The sequence below is a fragment of the Homo sapiens genome, chromosome 8, assembly GCF_000001405.40.
Source record: "Homo sapiens chromosome 8, GRCh38.p14 Primary Assembly".
NCBI classification, from domain to species: Eukaryota; Metazoa; Chordata; class Mammalia; order Primates; family Hominidae; genus Homo; species Homo sapiens.
Window position 1 is genome coordinate 76,055,634 of NC_000008.11, and position 19,413 is coordinate 76,075,046.

General features: G+C 37.0%; 1 long non-coding RNA gene across 1 annotated transcript in view; it reads right to left on the minus strand.

Moving 5' to 3' along the window:
* The window catches only part of LOC105375906 (uncharacterized), a 31,793-nt gene that overhangs the window by 11,392 nt on the left and 988 nt on the right, over window positions 1–19,413 (minus strand). The window contains exons 2-3 of the long non-coding RNA XR_929059.3: window positions 15,514–19,099; window positions 14,503–14,649 (exon numbers count right to left, since the gene is read on the minus strand). This is a non-coding gene — a long non-coding RNA (uncharacterized LOC105375906). The remainder of the gene's footprint in view (window positions 1–14,502; window positions 14,650–15,513; window positions 19,100–19,413) is intronic.

Consider the following 19,413-nt stretch of genomic DNA (forward strand, 5'->3'; position numbering starts at 1 on the left):
CAAAATAATAATCTTAAGGAAGCTCAGTGAGATACAAGATAATTCAGATAGAATTCAACAAAATGAGAAAACCATTCATGATCTGAATGAGAAATTCAGCAAAGATATAGATATGATAAAAAAGTAAACATAAATCATGCTGCTAAATAATTTAATCAATGAAGTAAAAAATGTAATAAAGATCTTTAACACCAGAATAGATCAAGCAGATGATAGAATCTGTAAATCTGAAGACAGGTGTTTTGCAATTACCCAATCAGAGGAAAAAGAAGAAAAAAAAATGAAGAAAAGCAAAGATAGCTGTGAGACCTATGGGACACCATTAAGTGAACAAACATTTGCAATATAAATATTAAAGAAGGAGAAGAGGCAATGAAAAGACAGAAAGCTTATTTCATGAAATAATTGCTGAAAAGTTCCCAAGTCTTGAGAGAGATATTAATATCCAGATCCGTGAAGCTCAAAATTTCCCAAACTGATTCAACCCAAAGAGGTCCTCTCTAAGGCACATTGTAATCAAACTGTCAAAAATAAAAGGCAGAGAGAATTTTAAAAGCAGCAAAAGTATGAAGTCACACGTTAGGGAATGAGACTATCAGCAGATTTCTCATCAGAAAACTTGTACACCACAAAGGAATGGGATGACATATTCAAAGTGCTAAAAGGGGAAAAAAAGCCTCTCAAGAATACTATAGGGCCGGGCACGGTGGCTCACGCCTGTAATCCCAGCACTTTGGGAGGCCAAGGCGGGCAGATCACGAGGTCAGGAGATTGAGACCATCCTGGCTAACATGGTGAAACCCTGTCTCTACTAAAAATACAAAAAATTAGCCAAGCGTGGTGGTGGGTGCCTGTAGTCCCAGCTACTCGGGAGGCTGAGGCAGGAGAATGGCGTGAACCCAGGAGGCAGAGCTGGCAGTGAGCCAAGATCACGCCACTGCACTCTAGCCTGGGTGACAGAGCGAGACTCCGTCTCAAGAAAAAAAAAAAAAAAAAAAAAAGAATAGTATATCAAGTAAGGATGTCCTTCAGAAACGATGAAAAAAGTCTTTCCCAAAAGAAGCAAAGAGGCAATTTATCACCACTAGGTCAGCCTTTCAAGAAATGCTTAAGAGAGTTCTTAAAGCAAAAATAGAAGAATGTTAATTACTAACACGAAAGTGTAAAATACACTGGTAAAGGTAAATATATAGTCAAACTGAGAATATTCCAATGTTATAATGGTGACCTATAAAGCATTTATATATTTAATGTGAAGGTTAAAAGTCAAAAGAGCTGACAATAATTATAGCCACATTAAGTTGTTAAGAAATATGCAATATAAAAAAAATTAAATTGTGTCTTCAAAAATATAAATTATGGGAAAGAGTAAAAGTGTAGAGTTTTTGTACGTGATGAAAGTTAAGTTGTTATCAGCACAATATAGTTTGTTGTAACTATGCAGTATTTCATGTAAGCCTCATGATAACCACAAAGCAAATTAAATTTATAGCAGAAACATAAGTAAAGGAAAAGGAATCAAAACTTTGCACTACAGAAAATCAGCAAACCACAAATGTAATCATGAAGAGAGAAATAAAGGAACAAAGGATCTACAAAATTACAGAAAGCGATGAACAAAATGACAATAGTAAGTGTTAATCTATCCATAATTACTTTGAATGTAAACAGATTAAATTCTTCAATCAAAAGACATAAACTGGCTGAATGAATAACTTAGAAAAACCCATGTTTATGCTGCTATATATGTACATATATGTATATGCAGCATATAGTCGGTTAAAAAAAAAAAAACCCAACTATATGCTGCTACAAGTGACCTACTTTAGCTTTAAGGACACATAAAGGTTGAAAGTGAAAGGATAGAAGAAGACATTCCATAAAAATAATAACTGAAAGAGAGCAAAGGTGGCTATACCTATAATAGATTAAATAGATTTCAAGTCAAAAACTACCCCAAGAAACAAAAAAAGGTTATTATTTAATAATAAAGAGCTCAATTCATCAAGGAGACATAACAATCATAAATATATACGTACCCAATATCAGAGCAACTGATATAGTTTGGATATTTGTCCTTGCCCAAAGCTCATGTTGAAATGTAATTCTCAATGTTGGACGCAAGACCTGTGGGAGGTGTTTGGATCATGGGAGCAGTTCCCTCATGAATGGCTTGGTCCGTCCCCTTGGTGAAAAGTGAGCTCTCACTCTGAGTTCATATGAGATCTGGTTATTTAAAAGTATGTGGCATCCCCCCCTCAATTCTCTCTGTCTCTCTCTTGCACTTGCTTTCACCAGTTGATGTGCCTGTTTTTGCTTCATCTTCTGTCATGAGTAAAAGCTCTCTGTGGTCTCTCTAGAAGCCAATGCTGGCACTATGTTTCCTGTGCAGTCTGCAGAGCCATGAGCCATTTAACCTTTTTATAAATTACCTACCCTCAGGTATTTATTTATAGCATTCAAGAACAGCATACTACAGAAAATTGTTAACAGAAGTGGGGCATTGCTATAAAGATCCCCGAAAATGTGGAAGTGATTTTGGAACTGGGTAACGGGCAGAGGTTGAAGAGTCTGGAGAGCATAGAAGAAGACAGGAAGATGAGAGAAAATTTGCAACTTCTTAGAGACTTCTTAAATGATTGTGACCAAAAATGAACAGTGAAGTCCAGGCTGCTAAGGTCTCAGATGCAAATGAGGAACATATTTGGGAATTGGAGCAAAGGTTACCCTTGTTATGTCTTAGCAAAGAACTTGGCTGCATTATATCTATTCCCTAGGGGTCTGTGGAAGTTTGAGCTAAAAAACGATGATTTAAGGTACTTGGTGGAAAGAATTTCTAAGTAGCAATGCTTTCAAGATGTGATCTGGCTGCTTCTAACAGCCTATGCTCAGACATGGCAGCAAAGGCATGACTTAAAGTTGGAACTTATATTTAAAAGAGAAGCAGAGCATACAAGTTTGGAAAATGTGAAGCCTGGCCAAGTGGCAGAGAAAGAAAAAGCTTTTCCAGGAGAGGAATTCAAGTAGTCTGTGGAGCAATGATCTGCTAAAGATATTTTCGTAACTAAAAGGGATTCAAGTGCTAATATCCAAGAAAATGGGGAAAAGTATTTGAAGGCATCTCAGAGACCTTCACAGCAGTCCCTCTCATCACAGGCCCAGAGGCCAAGGAAGGAAGAATTGTTTGTGGGACAGGCCTAAGGCATCACTGACCTGTGCAGCCTCAGGACACTGCTCTCCTCTTCCCAGATGGCCCAGCTTCAGCCAGGGCTCAAAAGGGCCAAGGTACAGCTTGAGCTGCCATTTTGGAGAATGCGAGCTGTAAGGTTTGTCAGCTTCAACATAGTGTTAAGCCTGCCATCACACAGTGTGTAAGAGTGAATCAAGCTTGGTACCCTCCACCAAGATTTCAGAGGATATATGGAAAGGCCTGATAGTCAGTGCAGACTCATGGTTTTGCAGCCTGCACAGAAAGTGTATTGCCAGCATCAGCTTCTGGGGGACATGATAGTCTTTTTCATATATCCTCTGAAATCTTGGTGGAGTGGTGGTGCTGCAGGGGAGATGCCCTCAGTGAGAACCTCTACTAGGACAGTGTAAAGGGAAAACACGTAGTTGGAAGCTCCAAAACGCACAGGCACTGGGGCACTGCCTACTGGAGCTTGGAGAAGGGGGCCACCATCTTCAGATCACAGAATGGTAAATCCAATGGCAACTTACAACTTCAACCTAGGAAAAGCTACAGGCATTCAACTCCAACCCATGAGAGCAGTGCTGGGGCTGAACCCTGCAAAGCCCCTGGGTTGGAGTTGCTCACAACTTTGGGAGCCCACCCCTCATACTGTGTCCAGAATTGGTGGGTTCTTGGTCTCACTGACTTCAAGAATTAAGCCACGGACTCTCGCAGTGAGTGTTACAGTTCTTAAAGGCAGCGTGTCTGGAGTTTGTTCCTTCTGATGTTCGGATGTGTTCAGAGTTTCTTCCTTCTGGTGAGTTCGTGGTCTCGCTGGCTCAGGAGTGAAACTGCAGACCTTTCCAGTGAGTGTTACAGCTCTTAAGGCAGTGCGTCTGGAGTTGTTCATTCCTCCAGGTGGGTTCGTGGTCTCGCTAGCTTCAGGAGTGAAGCTGCAGACCTTCGCAGTGAGTGTTACAGCTCTTAAAGGCAGTGTGGACCCAAAGAGTGAGCAGCAGCAAGATTTATTGCAAAGAGAGAAAGAACAAAGCTTCCATACTGTGGAAGGGGACCTGAGCGGGTTGCCACTGCTGGCTGGGGCAGCCTGCTTTTATTCTCTTATCTGGCCCCACCCACATCCTGCTGATTGGTAGAGCCCAGTGGTCTGTTTTGACAGGGCGCTGATTGGTGCGTTTACAATCCCTGAGCTAGACACAAAGGTTCTCCAAGTCCCCAACAGAGTAGCTAGATACAGAGTGTCAATTAGTGCATTCACAAACCCTGAGCTAGACACAGGGTGCTGATTGGTGTGTTTACAAACCTTGAGCTAGATACAGAGTGCTGATTGGTGTATTTAGGATCCCTGAGCTAGACACAAAGGTTCTCCAAGTCCCCACCAGATTAGCTAGATACAGAGTGTCGATTGGTGCATTCACAAACCCTAAGCTAGACACAGGGTGCTGATTGGTGTGTTTACAAACCTTGAGCTAGATACAGAGTGCCTATTGGTGTATTTACAATCCCTGAGCTAGACATAAAGTTTCTCCACGTCCTCACCAGACTCAGGAGCCCAGCTGGCTTCACCCAGTGGATCCTGTGCCAGGGCTGCAGGTGGAGCTGCCTGCCAGTGGTGCGCTGTGTGCCTGCACTCCTCAGCCCTTGGGTGGTCAATGGGACTGGGCACCGTGGAGCAGAGGGCAGCGCTCGTCCGGGAGGCTCCGGCCACAAAGGAGCCCACGGAGGTGGGGAGGCTCAGACATGGTGGGCTGCAGGTCCCGAGCCCTACCCAGCAGGAAGGCAGCTAAGGCCCGGCGAGAAATTGAGCATGGCAGTTGCTGGCCCAGGTGCTAAGCTCCTCGCTGCCCGGGCTGGTGGGGCCGGCCGGCTTCTCCAAGTGTGGGGTATGCCAAGCCCATGCCCACCCGGAACTCGCACTGGCCCGCAAGCACCCCGGCAGCCACGGTTCCCACCCGCGCCCCTCCCTCCACACCTCCCCACAAGCTGAGGGAGCCGGCTGCAGCCTTGGCCAGCTCCCTTTTGGTATAGGAATGTTTACCCAACTCTATACTCGCATTATATCTTGGAAGTAAATTACTTGCCTTTGATTTTACAAGCTCATAGGTGGAAAGGACTCGCCTTGTCTCAGATGAGACTTTGGGCTTTTGAGTTAATGTGGAAAGAGTTAAGACTTTGGCTGATATGGTTTGGCTCTGTGCCCCCACCCAAATCTCATCTCTAATGGTAATCCCCACATGTCAAGGGAGGAACCTAGTGTGAAGTGACTGGATCATGGGGGCAGTTTCCCTCATGCTGTTTTCATGATAGTGAATGAGTTCTCATGAGATCTAATGGTTTAAATGTGTTTGGCAGTTCCCCTCTCACTTTCTGTCTCTCCTACCATCATGTAAGAAGGTTTTTGCTTTTCCTTCACCTTCCACCATGATTATGTTTCCTGAGGCCTCTCCAGCCATATGGAACTGTGAGTCAATTAAACCTCCTTTCTTTATAAATTGCCCAGTCTCAGGTAGTTCTTTGTAGCTGTGTGAAAACGGACTAATAAAATGTGGGGCTATTGCAAAGCATGATTGTATTTTGCAATGTGAGAAGGACATGATATTTGAGGCAGTGGTCAGGGACAGAATGATATAGTCTGGATATTTTTATCTACCCAAATCTCATGTTGAAATGTAATCCCCAATTTTGGAGGTGGACCTGGTAAGAGATGTTTGGATCATAAGAGTGGATGTCTCATTAATGCCTTGGACCATCCCTTGGGTGATAAGTGAGCTCTCGCTCTGAGTTCATGCAAGATCTAGTCATTTAAAATTGTGTGTGTGGCACCCTAAGCCCCACTCTCCCTCTTTCATGCTTCTGCTTTCACCATGTGATGGGCCTGTCTTGCTTCGCCTTCTGCCATGAGTTAAAGCTCCCTGAGGTCCCCCAGAAGCTGATGCTGGCACTACACTTCCGATATAGCCTGCAGAACCATGAGCCAATTAAACCTCTTTATAAATTACTCAGTCTCAGATACTTCTTTATAGCAATCAGCATCTAAATAGGGAAAGAATGTTTTAATGGTCATAAAGGGAGAAATAGGTAGCAACACAATAATTGTAGGCTATTTATACATCACTTTCAACAATAGACAGGACAACTACAAAGACAATTAACAGGGAAATACTGGAGTTGAACTGCACTTCAGGCAAAATAGACTTAACATACCTTCATAGAACTTTCCATCCAACAGCAGCAGAATGCACATTCTTTTCTATGCACACGAAGCACACTCCAGAATAGACCACACGTTATGCCACAAAACAAGTCTTAATACATTTAGGAAGATTTAAATAATATCAGGTATTGTTTCTGAATGCAGTGGTATAAAATTAGAAATCAAAAACGGATAAATTTTGGAAAATTCACAAATATATGGAAATTAAACAACATGCTGCTGAATAACCATGGGTCAAAAAGGAAGTCAAAAGGAAAATCTAAATATATTTTGAAACAAATCACAGCAGTTGAAACACAACATACAAAAACCTATGACATGAAGCAATAAAAATCTACATTATAAGGGAAGAAAGATTTCAAATAAATAGCCTACATTATCCTCAATGAGCTAGAAGAAGAAACTCAACTCAAGGTTAGCAGAAGAAAGGATAAAGATTAGAAAATAAATAAATCATATAGAAAATAAAAAGCCATAGACAAAATTAGCAAATTGAAGAGTTTGTTTTTTGAAAAAAAAAAAAAGAAACAAAATTGACAAACTCAGCTAAAATAACTAAGAAGAAAAGAGAGAAGACTCAAATATATAAAATGAGAAGTGAAAGTGAAGGTATTACAACAAATACCTCAGTAATTAAAAAGATCATAAAGAATATTATGATCAATTATATGCAAACAAATTCAATAAACTAGAGGAAATTGATAAGTTTCTAGAAAAATAGAGCCTACCAAGTTTGAATCAGGGAAAAGTAGAAAGTCTGAACAGACTAACAACAAAGACATTGAAGTTGTAATTAAAAGCCTCTCAACAAAGAAAAGCTACAGACCAGATGAATTTATTGCTGAATTCTACCAAACTTTCAAAGAATAATTAGTACCAATACTTCTTAAACTCTTTCAAAAAAGTAGAGATGTAGGAAATACTTTTTAACACATTTTATGAGACCAGCATCACCTTGATACCTAAGCCAGACAAAGACATCATAAGTAAACTACAAGACAATACCTCTGATAAACACTGATGCAAAATTGTTCAATAAAATATTGGCAAACAGCATTCAACAACATACCAAAAAGATCATGATCATATGGGATTTATCCATGGCATATAAGGCTGGCTTAACAGATGGAAGTGAATGAATGTGATTACATCATCTCAGCTGATGGAAGATAATAACCACATGATCATCGCACTTAATGCAGAAAAAGCATTCAACAAAGATCAACATCCTTTCTTGAGAAAAACTCTCAACAGTATAGAATGCAAGTTGCTCAACACAATAGTGGTTGTGGCTGCTTATGAAAAACCCAGAACTAGCATCACCGTCCAATGGAGAGAAGCTGAAGGCTGATTCTCTAAGGTCTGGTATAGGGCAAGGACACCCACTCTTGCCACTTCTATTCAACATAGTACTGGAAGTATTATTAAGAGCAATCAGACAAACAAAATGTATTCAAATCAGAAAGGAACAAATACGATTATCCTTATTTATTGATGACTTGATCTTATAAGTAGAAAAGTGCAAAGACTTCACCAAAAAACTGTTAGAACTGTTAGAAATAAAGTAAGTATTGAGAAAAAGGCTTGAGAGAATAAGGCTTCAGATGATCAAACTACTCTGAGCTACAGGAGGAAATTCAAACCAAAGACAAAGAAGTTGAAAACTTTGAAAAAAATTTAGAAGAATGTATAACTAGGATAACCAATATAGAGAAGTGCTTAAAGGAGCTGATGGAGCTGAAAGCCAAGGCTGGAGAACTACGTTAAGAATGCAGAAGCCTCAGTAACCGATGCAATCAACTGGAAGAAAGGGTATCAGTGATGGAAGATGAAATGAATGAAATGAAGCGAGAAGGGAAGTTTAGAGAAAAAAGAATAAAAAAAAACGAACAAAGCCTCCAAGAAATATGGGATTATGTGAAAAGACCAAATCTGAGTCTGATTGGTGTACCTGAAAGTGATGGGGAGAATGGAACCAAGTTGGAAAACACTCTGCAGGATATTATCCAGGAGAACTTCCCCAATCTAGCAAGGCAGGCCAACATTCAGATTCAGGAAATACAGAGAACGCCACAAAGATACTCCTCGAGAAGAGCAACTCCAAGACACATAATTGTCAGATTCACCAAAGTTGAAATGAAAGAAAAAATGTTAAGGGCAGCCAGAGAGAAAGGTCACATTACCCACAAAGGGAAGCCCATCAGACTAACAGCAGATCTCTCGGCAGAAACTCTACAAGCCAGAAGAGAGTGGGGGCCAATATTCAACATTCTTAAAGAAAAGAATTTTCAACCCAGAATTTCATATCCAGCCAAACTAAGCTTCATAAGTGAAGGAGAAATAAAATAATTTACAGACAAGCCAATGCTGAGAGATTTTGTCACCACCAGGCCTGCCCTAAAAGAGCTCCTGAAGGAAGCACTAAACATGGAAAGGAATAACCGGTACCAGCCACTGCAAAACCATGCCAAATAGTAAAGACCTTCGAGGCTAGGAAGAAACTGCATCAACTAACGAACAAAATAACCAGCTAACATGATAATGACAGGATCAAATTCACACATAACAATATTAACTTTAAATGTAAATGGACTAAATGCTCCAATTAAAAGACACAGACTGGCAAATTGGATAAAGAGTCAAGACCCATCAGTGTGCTGTATTCAGGAAACCCATCTCACGTGCAGAGACACACATAGGCTCAAAATAAAAGGATGGAGGAAGATCTACCAAGCAAATGGAAAACAAAAAAAGGGAGGGGTTGCAATCCTAGCCTCTGATAAAACAGACTTTAAACCAACAAAGATCAAAAGAGACAAAGAAGGCCATTACATAATGGTAAAGGGATCAATTCAACAAGAAGAGCTAACTATCCTAAATATATATGCACCCAATACAGGAGCACCCAGATTCATAAAGCAAGTCCTGAGTGACCTACAAAGAGACTTAGACTCCCACACAATAATAAGGGGAGACTTTAAACCCCACTGTCAACATTAGACAGATCAACGAGACAGAAAGTTCACAAGGATACCCAGGAATTGAACTCAACTCTGCACCGAGTGGACCTAATAGACATCTACAGAACTCTCCACCCCAAATCAACAGAATATACATTTTTTTCAGCACCACACCACACCTATTCCAAAATAGACCACATAGTTGGACGTAAAGCTCTCCTCAGCAAATGTAAAAGATCAGACATTATAACAAACTGTCTCTCAGACCACAGTGCAATCAAACTAGAACTCAGGATTAAGAATCTCACTCAAAGCGGCTCAACTACATGGAAACTGAACAACCTGCTCCTGAATGACTGCTGCGTACACAACGAAATGAAGGCAGAAATAAAGATGTTTTTTGAAACCAACAAGAACAAAGACACAACATACCAGAATCTCTGGGACACATTCAAAGCAGTGTGTAGAGGGAAATTTGTAGCACTAAATGCCCACAAGAGAAAGCAGGAAAGATCCAAAATTGACACCCTAACATCACAATTAAAAGAACTAGAAAAGCAAGAGCAAACACATTCAAAAGCTAGCAGAAGGCAAGAAATAACTAAAATCAGAGCAGAAATGAAGGAAATAGAGACACAAAAAACCCTTCAAAAAATTAATGAATCCAGGAGCTGGTTTTTTGAAACTATCAACAAAATTGATAGACCACTACCAAGACTAATAAAGAAGAAAAGAGAGAAGAATCACATAGATACAATAAAAAATGATAAAGGGGATATCACCACCGATCCCACAGAAATACAAACTACAATCAGAGAATACTACAAACACCTCTACGCAAATAAACTAGAAAATCTAGAAGAAATGGATAAATTCCTCGACACATACACCCTCCCAAGACTAAACCAGGAAGAAGTTGAATCTCTGAATAGACCAATAACAGGCTCTGAAATTGTGGCAATAATCAATAGCTTACCAACCAAAAAGAGTCCAGGACCAGATGGATTCACAGCCGAATTCTACCAGAGGTACAAGGAGGAACTGGTACCATTCCTTCTGAAACTATTCCAATCAACAGAAAAAGAGGGATTCCTCCCTAACTCATTTTATGAGGCCAGCATCATCCTGATACCAAAGCCGGGCAGACACACAACCAAAAAAGGGAATTTTAGACCAATATCCTTGATGAACATTGATGCAAAAATCCTCAATAAAATAGTGGCAAACCGAATCCAGCAGCATATCAAAAAGCTTATCCACCATGATCAAGTGGGCTTCATCCCTGGGATGCAAGGCTGGTTCAATATACGCAAATCAATAAATGTAACCCAGCATATAAACAGAACCAAAGACAAAAACCACATGATTATCTCAATAGATGCAGAAAAGGCCTTTGACAAAATTCAACAACCCTTCATGCTAAAAACTCTCAATAAATTAGGTATTGATGGGATGTATCTCAAAATAATAAGAGCTATTTATGACAAACCCACAGCCAATATCATACTGAATGGGCAAAAACTGGAAGCATTCCCTTTGAAAACTGGCACAAGACAGGGATGCCCTCTCTCACCACTCCTATTCAACATAGTGTTGGAAGTTCTGGCCAGGGCAATGAGGCAGGAGAAGGAAATAAAGGGCATTCAATTAGGAAAAGAGGAAGTCAAATTGTCCCTGTTTGCAGATGACATGATTGTATATCTAGAAAACCCCATTGTCTCAGCCCAAAATCTCCTTAAGCTGATAAGCAACTTCAGCAAAGTCTCAGGATACAAAATCAATGTACAAAAATCACAAGCATTCTTATACAGCAATAACAGACAAACAGAGAGCCAAATCATGAGTGAACTCCCATTCAAAGTTGCTTCAAAGAGAAAGAAATAAAGTCAGTAAAGTTGCAGAATACAAAATCAACATACAAATGTTTATGGCATTTCTATACACAAATAAACAACATAACCAGTAGCATTATTCACTGCAATAGAAAAAACAATTCTAAAATTTGTATGGTGTAACAAAAGACTCCAAATAGCCAAAGCAATTCTGAGAAAAAGATAAAAGTTGAAGGCATCACATCACACTTTCTGATTTAACATTATATTATTATACTTTCTGACGTAAAATTATATTACAAAGGTAGAGTGATTAATATAGTAAGGTATTGATATGAAAACAGCCACATAGCCGAGCAAAACAGAATAGAGAGCCCAGAAATGAATCCTAACTTATATGGTCAATCAATTTTTGACACAGCATCAAGAGGACACAATGGGGAAAGGATAGTCTCTTCAATAAATGTTTCTGACAAAACTATGTTGCCACATGCTAAAAAAATAAAATGGATCCTTATGGTATACCATACACAAAAATCAACTCAAAATGGATAAAATATCTGAACAGAAGACCTGAACTCACAAATCTCCTAGAAAGAGAAAAAAAACATAGGGGAAAAGCTTTTTAACATTGGCCTTGGCAAGAATTTTGTAGATATCGCCCCAAAATCTCAGGCTACAAAAGCAAAATTAAATAAATGAGATCGCATCAAACTAAAAAGTTTCTCACAGCAAAGGAAACAATTAACACAACAAAAAAGCAAACTATGTATTTGGAAAAAATATTTGCAAACCATGTATCTGATAAGCAGTTCATATCAAAAATTTATATAGAACTCATACAACTCAATAGCAAGAGAATATGTAACCTGATTTTAAAATGTCCATGGACAAAAATAGGCATGTCTCCAAGGATGACATAAAAATGGCCAATGCATAAATGAAAAGGTGCTGAAGATCACTAATCACCAGAAAACTGCAAATCAGAACAACCTTGATATATCACCTCACACTCCTTAAAACAGCTGTTATATAAATAACAAGCAATAACAAATGTTGGCAAGGGTGTGGAAAAAAAGGGAACCCTATATACTCTTGGTAGAAATAGTAGATTGGTACAGCCATTGTGGAAGACAATATGAACATACCTGAAGAAATTAAAAATAGAACTACCATATGACTAAACAAAAGGACATTAAAATCAGCACCTTGTAAAGATATCTGCACTTACATATTTATGGTAGGATTATTCACATCAGGCAAGATATGGAAACAACCTAGGTGTCTGTCAGCGGACAAATGTATAAAGAAACTATTGTATATGTGATGGAATATCATCCAATCTTTAAAAAGCAGGAGATTCTGCCATTTGCCACAACATGGATGGATCTGGAAGACATTATGCTAAATGAAATAAACCAGATAGAAAAAGAAAAATATTGCATCATCTCACTTTTATATGCAATCTAAAATTTTAAAATGTCTAATATATAGTGATAGAGAAAACAACAATTACCAGGAGGAAAATAGAGAGATTAAAGTTGAAAGATACAAAGTAGCAGATATGTAGGACGAACAAGGCTGAAGATCTAATATATAGTTTATTGCAAAAGTAATTGCAGTTTTGCCATTACCTTTAATACATGAGGCCTACAGTTAATAATAGTGTATTGTATCCAGAATTTTTGCTGAATGAAGAGAAAAAATAATTTTTACTGCATATATTAGTATCCTACTATAAGCAAAAAACTTTCTGTTCTTGACATGTGTGTTTTTAAATATATCAGTTTGGCCTCATGGAATCCTGTTTGCAAATATAAAATAATAACCTATTGTTTTATTCAATGGGTTATAATTTATTATAGCATTATGTAATTTAATGCTCAATTTATACCAGATTTTGTGAGTAGTAACACTTTAGGCTGACTTCTGTGTTTTATTGGCATGTCTCATAATTCTTTTAGCACTTTTTAAGTTTTTGGCACAAGAAGATGTTCCAGGCTCATGTTGTACTTTCACTAACAAAGAACTTCTCCCCACAAAATGGCTATTTATCATTTCTCCCAGGATAAATGGTTGCTTTTGATGAAGAATAATATTTAGGGATTAAGATCTGGGTCTAGGTGAGCTCATGGCTATTGGTATCTCACTGCTCCCAGGCCCAGCCCACTCAGTGGAAAGATACCCTCCCCACGCCCACACACAAACCTATATCGATTTCTCTGTCTCTATTTCTCTTATTTCTCTCTCCTCTAACCCTTCCTGATATATACTTATCTTTCTCTCTCTAACTACATATCTAACTGTCTATGTTGAAAACCATGAGTTCACACTGGTATCTCCAATCCCAATTCAGCAACACAGGGCAAGGTTTACATTAGTTTTCTCCCTTTGCACGAATGGAAGTCTCATATAACAGTGAGAAAACTTGCCACTATTATCATCAATACATTTATTTATAATATAAATCTTGTGTGTATCAAATCTTCCCTGGCCACCTTTGTCTCTCCCCTGTCACATGGATGCCTTCTTGGTCTCCTCTAATTTTAGTTGAGCAAGCCTCCTGGTCTCCTCTAATTTTAGTAATCATAGGCTTCCAGAGGAACAATGTCTTATCCTAAGAACCCTCAATTTAGGCCAATTGTCAGTACCTGTCACTTCCATCCCAAAAGTGGAAATAAATTTCAGAAAGAGCATACAGGAAGAGCATCCATTATCTCATTTAGACACACTCATCAGAGCCCATGAAAGATTAAGAATAGAAACATATAAAAAAAATTCAGTCCATATAAATGGTAGAGTAGTATTGTGCAATTGCTACCAGGTTACTAAAACTAAAGCTTTAGCTTTAGTAACCTGGTATGACAGCATTATTATAGATTTATAATATTATATATATGATTTATATATTACAGATTTATAATTTATTTAAATTTACAATATAGATTTATATATTATACATTATATTATATATATAATATATATTATAATATATAATATCTATTTTATATATGTTTATGGGTATATATATGCTTATATATGGGTATAGGTATGTTTACATATAAACATGTATATATACACATATATGTATCTATATACACACATACACACAATTATATACAGAGACATATATATACATACATACACAATTTTATGTATGTGTGTGTGTATATATATATACACACACACATGCAATTATATATAGAGAGAAGGAATTACACATGTGTAATTATTATGGAAGTAGCTACTGATTGCAGGAAATTAACTACATTCCAATGTGCCTTCCAGTCATTAATATACACTCACCATGCAGCTATTTTTCTTCTCACTTTGTCTCTCTCTTCCACTTTCTGCTTCTAAGAATTTCAATCAATCTTCATATTCTAGAATGTATATCCAAGTCCTCTACAACTCCAGGGAAGAGATTCATACATTTTTCACTCTAAAGGGACCCTAGTTTTTCCAAATTAAAATGTGCAAAGTATGTGTTATTCGGATTTTTAAATATACATATATTAAAATTAACACTGTTGGGTGAACAGTTCTATGAGTTTTGATTAATGCATGTACTTGTGTAAACACCACCACAATCAATATACAGTACAGTTTCATTATCCTATCCAAAAGTTCTTCGTACTGTTTATATTTAAACCTTCCCTTCACTCTTAACCCATAGTGACCAATAACCTGCTCTCCATTATTACAATGTTGCCATTTCTATAATTTCATAGAAGTTGAACTGAGAATATGCAGCCTTTAAGTCTGGCTTCTTTCTCTCATCCTAATGAATTTACTATTAATTGATGTTGTTCTGTGTTTCGATAGTCAGTTTCTTTTATTGTCAAGTAATATTTTCTTGTATGAACATTCTCCATTTTGGTTTTTCATTCCTCACTTGAGAGATATTTGTATTGCTTCCAGTTTTAGGCTATTACAAATAAAGTTTATATGCACCTTAATAGACAGGTTTTCCTGTTACTATAGATTTTATTTTTCCTGGGTAAATAAATAGAAGTGGAATAACCGGGTCATACACTAAGCGGACGCTTAAGTTTACAAAAAAAAAAAACCAAAAAACTGTCAAACAGTTTTCCATATCATACTATTTTGCATTTTCACCAGCAATATATGACAGTTCAAGTTCTTCCACATCCTTGTCAGCACTTGCAATTGTCAGTTCTAAATTTTATTTAGTTGCTATTCTATTAGGTAAATTATTCTGGATTTATTTTGCATTTCTGTAATAACTAATAATATTGTGTGTAAAGTAACATAATTTCATGCAGAGCAGAAGTTCTCCATGGTAATTATTCATACCTGGTAATTCAAGTGGGGCCTGAAAACTTCAGTCTCTTCACAGTAATTACGTGGAGTTCTGCAATGAATTCCTGGTGATTATGATTTTACCTTTCTCCAAACCCCCAAAACTGTTCCTTTCAGTTATCTCATTAAAAATTATTGACCCCTGAAGTAAGGAAGGAGCAAACAAGGGATAAATAAGCTTGGAGGTAGAATAATGAGAGTTGTAAAAGTTAAACTATCATGGCCTTTATGTATTCACTCAAGTAAAACGTTGGCTCATCTATTCAAAGTGAAGCATAAAGGAGTTACAACAGACTAATTTTATTTTAAGTAAATCCCTATCAATTCTACATCTTTTTTAAAAAAAAATAGGAGAAAGTATAAAGTATTATCAGACAGAACTAATTCACAAAAATTATATTTCCTCAGTACAGTGGCATAGCAGGTGAACCAGGGTAGCCTGCAAGCCCAACCGTAATGGTAAAAGCAAGCCAGTTGCAGTTCAGTTTCCAAGTGGAATTTGCTAATTCAGCATGCCAAGGCTTTGGCATTGGTACTGATGTAACACAGAACCTGCTGCCTATGCGTGAGGAGAACACTGTTGATATTTTCCCTAGGTAGTATGGCATAACTAATGAGACAGAGATTTTGATGGGCAAGAATAATCTCAGCAACCCTCATGACTTTCTAGGAAAACAATGTATTTCTGACAAAAGTTGTTTTCAAACTCCAGAAGAACTTTATTCTATGATTATATCTCTATATCCAGAAAAAAATTGTTAAAAAGAGTATACTTAACACTAAAGAATTTTCAGTAATATATACAGGCTTGTTGATAATGCAAATATAAAGGACTGGGAGGACTGACAGTTTTGAAATAGGGAATAGTTCTTACTTGAGCTCACAGTAAACAGTATATAGATATTGGCTTTTTAAGTTAGTTTTAGTAATAGAGATTATTTTTTCATTGCAATGTCTGGTTTCCTCTCCAAACAATTTCACCATTCTCATCAGAGCCGATAGCCACAGTAGTTTAGTTTCTTAGAACAATTTTTGAAGACTTGTTCATTTTTTCTTCTTGCCCTGTGCCATTTTTTTCCAAACTGTTACCTAATATAACTGGTAATCAGTTAATACATTCAGCTTGTGTTTTGTTAGAAGGTAAATATTGCTAATATTTTATAATTCTAGTTGACTATTTAGTAATATTGTACTTTATTCTAAAGTGATGTGCCAAGTCCCCCCAAAAATAAATAAAACAAAAAATATAGTAAGATTTTATATCAAACAACTGTAGGTCAGAAAAAAATTGTATTATACCAGAGGAAGGTGGAGTCCTGAAGAAAGCAGAAATCTAGGGGTATCATTTTTTTCTATATCAATAATCCTATAGGAATAGGGCCTTGGCCAATGGTTACTTTCTGTCTACAAAGGGAATGCAGGTTGCATACAATGCAAGTGAGAACTATGTATCTATTAGCTAAAATATCTCTTTTAAGTTCTCTCCACTATTTTTTCTTGATGCTAAGGTGTAGGTTTAAATGCACATAACATTAATAATGTACAACTCTCCCTCAGGATGTGAACCTCAAAAGAAGGAGAAACATACCAGATAGGAACAGAGCATTTCCTGATTTACTAAGTACATCTTGCTTATGAAGCATAAACCCAGTATTATGTTTATTTGTTCTTGATTTCAAGCTCTCTATCATACTGACAATCTAGTTTAATACCCCATACATTTTTTTAAAAAATTACTTAATAAGGCATTGCCATTATTTTATCATGTGTACTATGCCAAGAAGGTTTAATGTTCACAAAGATTGCATAAACCAGTTCAGCCATATCTCTTCATAGAAGTTTGTAACATGTTAACTTTATGTACAATTTACATAATGTATAAATGGTATACCTCCTTCTTTCTTATCTCAACAATAACGTGATTAGAATTGATTAAAATGCAATACTTGTCTTGTAAGTTGTGCTTTTCATTTATGCCAGCTTTATTATAAGTAGAATTATTTCTTAACCAGCAGCCCAAATATCAGTTTGTCAAAAATTTCTTCCAGAGAACAGTAAGTATAAAATACAGTATCGAATGTATTTTCAAAATATTTAAAAATATATAGCCAAAGAAGCTAATGGCAAAGTGATGCTTTTCCTGTTAAATTTAATAGGGGATGCTGACCCTCACTGGTAGGAGACTACCTCCTCTGATGTATTATGCAATTACATTGATGGATGGTTAATTGAGTCACTGTGGCAGACCATATGTTTACTCATGACCTGAATGTCATTGGTCAGGTTATGGCTTCACATCTCTGGCCTTTTAACTATACTGTTTTGAAGAATACCTGTTTTAAATTTAAACTTCTGGTTTAAAATGCCCATAGTAAAATAAATTATTAATTCCATCATCAGGAATTTGCACACAATTGCCTTTGTCACCAAGAGGACTTAGATAGTGTTTGTTACATGATTTGAAACCACTAATAAATGTACCAGAACAGTGGTGTATATAATGCAATTGTCTCAGTGTATGTGTTCTCTGAAATTAATAGACACCTCATTTGAACATTCATAAATATACATGCAGATACTTAATATTTAGTTTTCTGGTTTTTTAATAGAGAATACTAAGGAACATTTATCAACGGCTGCCCTTACCAAAATCATACAGTGAATAAACATTATATTTGGTGTTCTCAGTTTCCCACTGTCCTTCCTATGTCCAACATGGCTTCTCTGTTCCTCAGGGTGAAAGTGGTAAATACTTTAGTTAATGTTCTCTGATACTTGTAATATTGGAGAAGGGCATTTTTTAGTTCCCCTAAATACCAAGAACTAAGCAGCCATCTATTTATGAGGTCAGAATAGGTAATTGAAGTGAATGGTCTCTTGTGGCTTTTAAGAGAGGTGTATAGTAAAGAGGAATGACTAAAAGCATAGACCTGGTTTGGAATCTTCACTCTGTCACCAGTCAGTTTGAGCATGCTTTATAACATTCCCAATTAGTTTGCTTAAATACAAAATTGAGATAATAATATCTATATCATAAAGTGTTGTGATGATTCATTAAAATTCTATATTTTTGCTCCAAGTACAGTTCAGAGCAGTCATTTCACATAAAGCCTTCAGCAATCAATAAAATAATAATAAAAATAATAATAACTACCATTTTTTGAGCACTTGGTTTTATAAAGGAATTGGCGTACAGGCATTGTCCCAATTATCTTTAATACAATGATATCACATACTATTATTATGCCCATTTTACAAGTAATGAAACTGAAGATCCTAGGAGTTTGTTCTAGATCATAAGGGGAATAAGTGAAAGAATACAACACTAAATCCATGCTGTGTGACTACAACGGTGATACATAAATATTCATGACAAGTTTTCCTAACTTGACAACAAAAAATTAACTATTGTATCTTTTCCTTATGTATCCAAGTATTTAGAGCCAGCTCAATGACCACCAATAGAGAAAAATAATGATAGGAATACTTATCTGAGTTAAAATTCTTGATCAGAGTTCTTCTACAAACTTCTTGAGTCACCTTTCAGTGCCATTTGATTCTGGGTTATGATTATGGTCTCCTATGAGTGAAAATTTTGGACAGTAAGAGAGGGCTCCAATTAGCTTCTGCCCTTTGCATCATGCTGTATGAATACTAATAATTTCCCATCTCAATTCACTCATTTTTTATTTTAAGAAAATCTTACAGATTTTTTTAAATCAATATTTTTAGACAGCACTTTATTCTTGTGATTTATCTTGAGTCTGTATTGAAACAACAACTCTATCTCATGGAATAACCAATTACATTTGCATCACATGGTAGCAGAATTCAAAGATGGCCCCCAAAACATCTGCCCTGTTGTCTGTGCACCCTGCATAATCCTTGGGGCTT